At 39.7% G+C, this 6869-nt stretch overlaps 1 annotated feature.

Annotated features, from left to right (window-relative positions):
• Positions 459 to 1428: an enhancer, noted in NCBI's record as "H3K4me1 hESC enhancer chrX:108829413-108830382 (GRCh37/hg19 assembly coordinates)". NCBI's record gives its function as "activates a minimal SCP1, AML or CMV promoter by ChIP-STARR-seq in naive H9 embryonic stem cells {active_cell/tissue: H9 hESC(naive)}" and the evidence as "EXISTENCE:reporter gene assay evidence [ECO:0000049][PMID:30033119]".

The raw sequence follows: 6869 nt of genomic DNA, 5'->3' as shown, positions 1-6869 counted from the left end.
TGCTTTTCACATTTAAGTCTTCAGTCCATCTGGACTTTATTTTATGTATGGTGTATAATAGGGATCTAATTGTTTTTGGCATATGGATAATCACCTGTCCCAGAACCAGTTATTGAATAGTCACTCCTTCCTCAATGATCTGCAGTGATCTCTGATATGTCACAGTTCCATATATTTATGGATCTATTTCTGAGCCCCCATTTTGTTCCATTAGTCCATTGGTAAACCCCTGCCTCAATAGCATATTGTCTTATTTACTGTAGCTTTTTTTTTTTTCCATGACGGAGGTCCTGAGAACATATGCCCCTATGGCTTTATATTAAGTCTCAATATTTGTTCAGGCAAATCTCCCTACTTGATTCTTTTTCTTTCAGGAATAGTCTTCACTATTCTTGGCACTCTGTTCTCCTATATAAATTTTAAAATTTGTTGCCAAATTCAATGAAAAGCCCTGTTGAAATTTGAATTGAAATTTCATTGACTCTAGAGATTAATTTGAGAAGAATTGGTATTGAGTGTGCCTAATTATGAACATGATACATTGTCACATTTATTTAGAGCTTATTAATGTCTTTTTATAAAGTTATTTACTCTTCTTGATTGAATCTTACACTCTTTTGTTAAATTTAGTCCTAGGTGATGGCAGCAGCAGCCCATGTGCAGTGGCTGCTGCGAAGATGCTGGCTGCAGCAGGGGAGGCACGGGTGGGGTTACCTGTTCTGTGGGGCTGGTGAGATCCAGGAACAGGCAGGAGTACTGCTCCCTACCAAGTTGTCTGAGTGGGAGCCCCGCATTCCCAGGCACATCTGCAGCCTCCCAGCCGTGGCTTTGGACCCAGGCATCCCTGTACTCTCTAGGGTCCAGGAAGCCCCTGCCCCTGCAGGCTCGGAAGTGCCTGCTCCTGCTGTCTGGCCTCTGCCCACTCCCAGTGCTTGCTCTGGGCAAAGTTGTGGCCAAGCCCCAGCACTATTGCGACCTGGCTGGGTGTGTGTGCACTTGGGGCAGTGCTGACATGCCAGCCCCCTGCCACCTCAGCCCCCTTTGGACTTTGGGTGCCAATGAGAACAGGAGGGAGGTGGGTGGGGCGCTGTTGAGGGCAGCTTAGCACAGGCCTGCAAGTGCCCCTTGCCATGAACAGCCTGGGCACTGCGGATGGCATGTGGATGGTGTCAGGAGGCAGACAGTGTCCCGGGCGGAACAGTGTGGGTCCTCAGTGAAGCCCCACCTTCAAGCCAGGGAGGGCATGAAGCATGGGGGCTGGGCTGTCAGTTCCTGGTGGAGTCTGCAGACCACAGTGAGAACTTATGGTACTTTTTCCTGGCCACCCATGGCTGCCCATGGACCAATCAGCCTGCACTTCCTCCCTTCCAAGCCCATACAAACCCCCAGACTCAGCCAGACTTGAACAGACATCAGGATGACTTGCTTTCATAAAGGAGCTACCCACTGTGAGTTTCCTGAGAGCTGTTCTGTTGCTCAATGAAACGCCTCTCTGCCTTGCTCACCCTCCAGTTTTCCATGTACCTCAATTCTTCCTGGATGTGGAACAAGAACTTGGGACCCACCTAATGGCAGGACTGAAAGAGCTGTAACACCGACAGGGCTGAAACACTGCACCCCCCCACTTACCATGTTGCAGGCAATGAGAGGGAGAGAAGAGCTGCAGCATCTTTGAGGAGCCTAGACCTAGGGACTCCCCAAACCAGTGCTGTGACACCTCTGTTGGGGCTGTGCAGTTCCTGGCATCTCCAAGCTTCATAGTGTCACTGCATTCCCCTCATCTAGATGCAGATGGTCACAGCGGAAGCCGCATGCAGTACATCTGGTCCATCTGCAGCCTCATGTGGAGCCAGCACCTGTGCAGGCACCTGGAGCTACCCATCGCGCTGTAGCAGCCAGAATGCCTGGCTGTGTACAGTGGCCAGACCCAGCGCTTGCTGGCCCACACACCCCTCACTGCTCCGTGCCTGGCTTGCCCTTGACAGGTGTGGGATCCAGGCCGGTAGCACAAGTCCAGTCCAGTCTGCTGGGCAAAGTGGGGGGAACAAGCCCAGTGGGCATGAATAATACTCAGGCAGAAGGTGCCACTGGCCACAGAGGTTTCCAGCTGGCAAAGTGACACCCCAAGGATCCTGTGACATAGGTACCTTGTAGTTTTCATTGCTATTGCAAATGGTGTTTTTTAAAATACTAATTTTCTAATTCTTTGGTGCTGACATAGAGATGCAAATGATTTTTGAATATTGCTTTTATAGCAGGTCATCTTGCTCAATCTCTTATAATTTATACTCACTTGCAACTTGTTTAGGGTTGCTTTAATGAAGATGGTTGTGCTATCCACAAATAATTATGTCTTAGTTTATTCCTATCTAATGCATACAGTTAATTTCTTCTTTCTTTCTCTTTCTTTCTCTCCTTCTTTCTTTCTTCTTTCTTTTTTTCAGAGTCTTGCTTTGTCACCCAGGCTGGAGTGCAGTGGCATGATCTCTGCTCACTGCAGCCTCTGCCTCCCAGGTTCAAGCTATTCTTCTGCCTCAGCCTCCTGAGTAGCTGGGATTACAGGTGCATGCTACAATACCTGGCTATTTTTTTTTATTTTTAGTAGAGACAGGGTTTCACCATGTTGGCCAGGCTGGTCTTGAACTCCTGACCTCAAGTGATCCACCCACCTCAGCCTCCCAAAGTGCTGGGATTACAGGCATGAGCCACCAACCCGGGCCATACAGTTAATTTCTTTTTCTTATTTTACTTTACTGACTTGATCCTCCAGTATAATGTTGAATAGAAACAGTGACTGAAGGCATCCATGTCATGTTTCCGATTTGAACAAAATGCTTCCACCATTTCCCTATGAAGAATAAACTTTGCTGTTGGTCTTGTTTTGTTTTTGTCTTTAGTAGATAATCTTTACCACATTAAGAAAGTTATTTTTTCCAGTTTGCTAAGACTTTTTATCATGAGTATGTACTGAACTTTATGAAACATTTCTTCCTGCTCTTATTGAATTCATCATGATTTATTTTTCTTTCAGTCAGTTTTTAGCATGAATAACATTTTATAGATTTCCTATCATTAAACTACTCTTGAATTGCTGGGATAACTCAATTTGCTTATGGTATATTATCTTTTTTATCAACTGCTACACTCAGTTTGCTAATATCTATGTTTACAATGTTTGCCTTTATACTCATGAGGAAGAATGACTTATAATTGTCCTTCTCATTCAGCCTTAATTTGGTTTTGACATCAAAGTTATACCTACCTCATAGAATGAGTTGGAGTAGATTCTCCCCTTTTTCTATTCTCTGGAAGACTTTGTATAAAGTTAGATAGCCTGTTTCTTCAAAGTTTGATAGAACGAACGTTTAAAATCATCTAGGCTTTTTGCTTAGTTTGGGAAAAGGATATAATATGCGCACACATAAATACATATACCTATATATATTTCCAAATCTATGTGCGTTGGTATATATATACATGTGTATATATACATATATACGTATATGTGTGTGTATATATATGTGTGTGTATATGTATATATATACACACACATACAATTTTTGTTAAAGTAGAACATAGATACAAAAGTACACAAACCATAAGGATATGGCGCCATGAATTTTTACAAACTGAAGACACCTGTATACTCAGCATTCAAAGTTATGGGGTCTAATACCTTAAGTAGGTAGGTCTATTACCTACTACATTCACTCAACATTTTGATGTAATTAAGTTAAACCAATTAGAGATAGTCTTTCAAATTATAATTATTATACTATTATTCAATGTAACAAAATGTTGTCCAATATAAAATTACCTAGTCTACCTAAAGTAAAACTTTATATGAATTCACATACCACACAAACACATTCTTTAGGATAAGAGTAGAAAGTCACATTACCTCAGTCCGTTTGTGGGCGTAATGTGCTCTCTCTCTTTCCTCAGTGATGTCATAGCCCTTCACTATGGATTGGATCTGCTATGAGGGCTATCTTTATAATGAAGTCAAGAGTTTCTGTCCAGATCATCAATCTTGCAGTGTTAAGGAAAGTGGAAGGACTCAAATATCCCTGCTGCGGGAGCAAGCATCATTGATCTGTGAAAGCTCAGGGTTTGAATAGTTACTGAATCTGAATGTGTTGATCCTAAATATTAATATGATTTAGTAAGCATACTGGCTCTACCCCTCTCTCCTCCAATTAGCTGTGAGATACATGTGTGTGTGTTTATACATAAACACACACACATACACGCACACACACACGGGCTGAGCTTGATAAGATATATCAAGGGTCCTTCACTGGTTATAGGCAGCACTTACATATTGGTACCGATAAGATGCTGTGGTCCAAAATAAGACTTAGAGCCATGATTTAATTTCTTTTTATGGCTAAATAATATCCCAATATATGGATATACAATATTTAATTTATTTATTCATTAGTTGATAGACATTTGGGTTATTTTGAACCTTATGCTGTTAAATGAATAATGCTGCTATGAACATTTGTGTGTAAGTATTTTTGTGGACATGTTTTCAATTCTCCTACGCATACACCTAAGATTGGTATTACTGAGTCATATGGTAACTCTATCATGACACTTGGAGAAATTGCCAAACCCTTTTCCAAACTTCCTGCAGAAATAGCAATGTATGAGGCTTCTAATTTCTCCACATTTTCACTATCACTTGTTATTGTGTCTTTTCTTTATTATAGTCATACTAATGGGTATGAAGTGGCATCTCATTGTGGCTTTGATGTATATTTCTCTAAAATCTAAAGACGTTTGTTCTTTGATCTATGAATTATCTAGAATAAAAACATTTTCCAAATTAATGGGAGATGTTTTTCTATTGTTATTGATTTCTAAATGAATAGTTTGATGGTCAAAGAATGTGATCTGTATGATACTTATTTTGGGGGTTGTTGAAAATGTCTTGTACATAATTTTTAAAAAATTCATGTGTTTAATATATGTTTATGATATTAACCTTGTTAATTGTGTTCTTCAAATCTTATATCTTTACTGATTCTTTGTCTTTTTGAATTAATAATTGAGAGAGGTAGCACGAAATTTTCCACTTTGATGGTGGATTTGTCCATTTCTTCCTGTAATTTTATCAATTTTGTTTCATATATTTCAAAACTACTTAATTTGATATATGAATAGGTTTCGGATTGCTATATCTTCCTAGTGAATTTAATCTTTTATAATTATGTAGTGGTCCCCTGTATCCCTAATACTGCTTCTTGTCCTAGTGTCTAGTTTTTTGAATATTAACATAGCAATTCCAGTTTTCTTTTTGTTAGTATTTGTTTGGTATATATTTTCCTAGCTGTTTAATCTTCAACTTTTCCGTGTTATTTTAGTTCAGATGGGTCTTTTGCAAATAGCACATAACTGCATTTAAAAAATTAAATTCAGTTTGACAATCTCTTTTACCTAGTGAATTAAGTCCATTTGTATTTATTGTGGTTATCCAAGTATTTGAGCTGTAATTTTTTATGTTCATCCTTCCTTTTCTCCTCTCACCTTGTTCAGAGGGATTGATTTTATTGCTATTATTGTTCATTTAAAATTATTTTTTCCTCTATTGGTTTGGAATTTATATTCAATTTCTGTTCTTTTAGTGGTTAGTTCCAAAATTTTACCAGGCATATTTACCTCAAAAAAGGCTAAAATTAGGTAATATTTTCACCCCATCCCAATCAACAGAAAGACCTTAGAACACTTTAATTGATCACAGTCTCCTGATTTGCAATTTGCTTCTTTTTATAAAACCAAAATGAGACATTTGTTTTATTATTTTATACAGGCCACAGTGACCCATGATCATGCCACTGCACTCCAGCCTCAACAACAGAGTAAGACCTTGTCTCAAAAAAAGAAGAAAAATGAAAAAAGAAATAATGGGTACAATTCCTCAGGTGCAGTCCAACTTCTTCCCCACAACTGCGGTCTTTCTCCCTGAGGCCAGTGGGACCACAGGTGAGGATATTCAGCCTAGACCAATTAATTCAGAGTCTTTGAAAGGAGTCCACCATTGATATGTTTAAACAGCTTTCCAGATGATTCTAATGTACAGCCAGGGTTGAGAACCACTGGTGTGGTGGAACGGTGGAAGGTTTGTGCCAAGATGAGCCATAGAGTGAGTCTCCAATAACTATTATGTTTTGGTTATCGTGTGAGCCGACAGTCCCTTAGAGGAGCAGACAAGATTGAACATTGCGGTGAGTATAGAGTCTTCCATATCTGGCAGAAGGTGATTCAGCCTGAAGTTCTTGAAAGTGACAGCGGGCGTCATTGAGGTAGTGGGCACAGATGTGTTCAGATCCAGCACGTCTGATTTAAATGAGTGAGTCAACTGGAACTACTAGAAAAGCAATCTATATGGAGGCATCAAAAGCTGTCAAAATAGTCAGGTTTTGAGAATCCAAGAAGTTAGAGAAAAGGCGACCACAGAAACCTGACCCACTGCTTTAACTCTTAAGGCATTTGCTAACTCTTGCTGTACAGCAAAAGGGTGAGAATCTGGATCAAACCTAGGTACATCATATTCAAATTTCTGAAAACTAAAAAAAAATTTTAAAGCATCTAGAGGAAAAAAGACACATTACATTCAAAGGAGCAATAATAAGATATTGGCTGACTTCTCAAAAGAAATAATGGAAGCCAGAAGACAAAGTGCTACCTTTAGTACTGAAAAATAACTGCCAACCTTGAATTCTATAATATATATAGTCAAATACTCTTTAAAAAGGAAGGTAAAATAAAGACTTCTCCAAACAAACAAAACCCGAGGGAATTTGTCACTAGCAGATCCAGGCTAAAAGAAATACTAGGGCCGGGTGCATTGGCTCATGCCT

The sequence above is a fragment of the Homo sapiens genome, chromosome X (genome assembly GCF_000001405.40).
Source record: "Homo sapiens chromosome X, GRCh38.p14 Primary Assembly".
In the NCBI taxonomy this organism is placed as follows: Eukaryota; Metazoa; Chordata; class Mammalia; order Primates; family Hominidae; genus Homo; species Homo sapiens.
The sequence above is the reverse complement of the archived record's forward strand: the minus strand, read 5'-3'. Positions and strand labels throughout refer to the sequence as shown.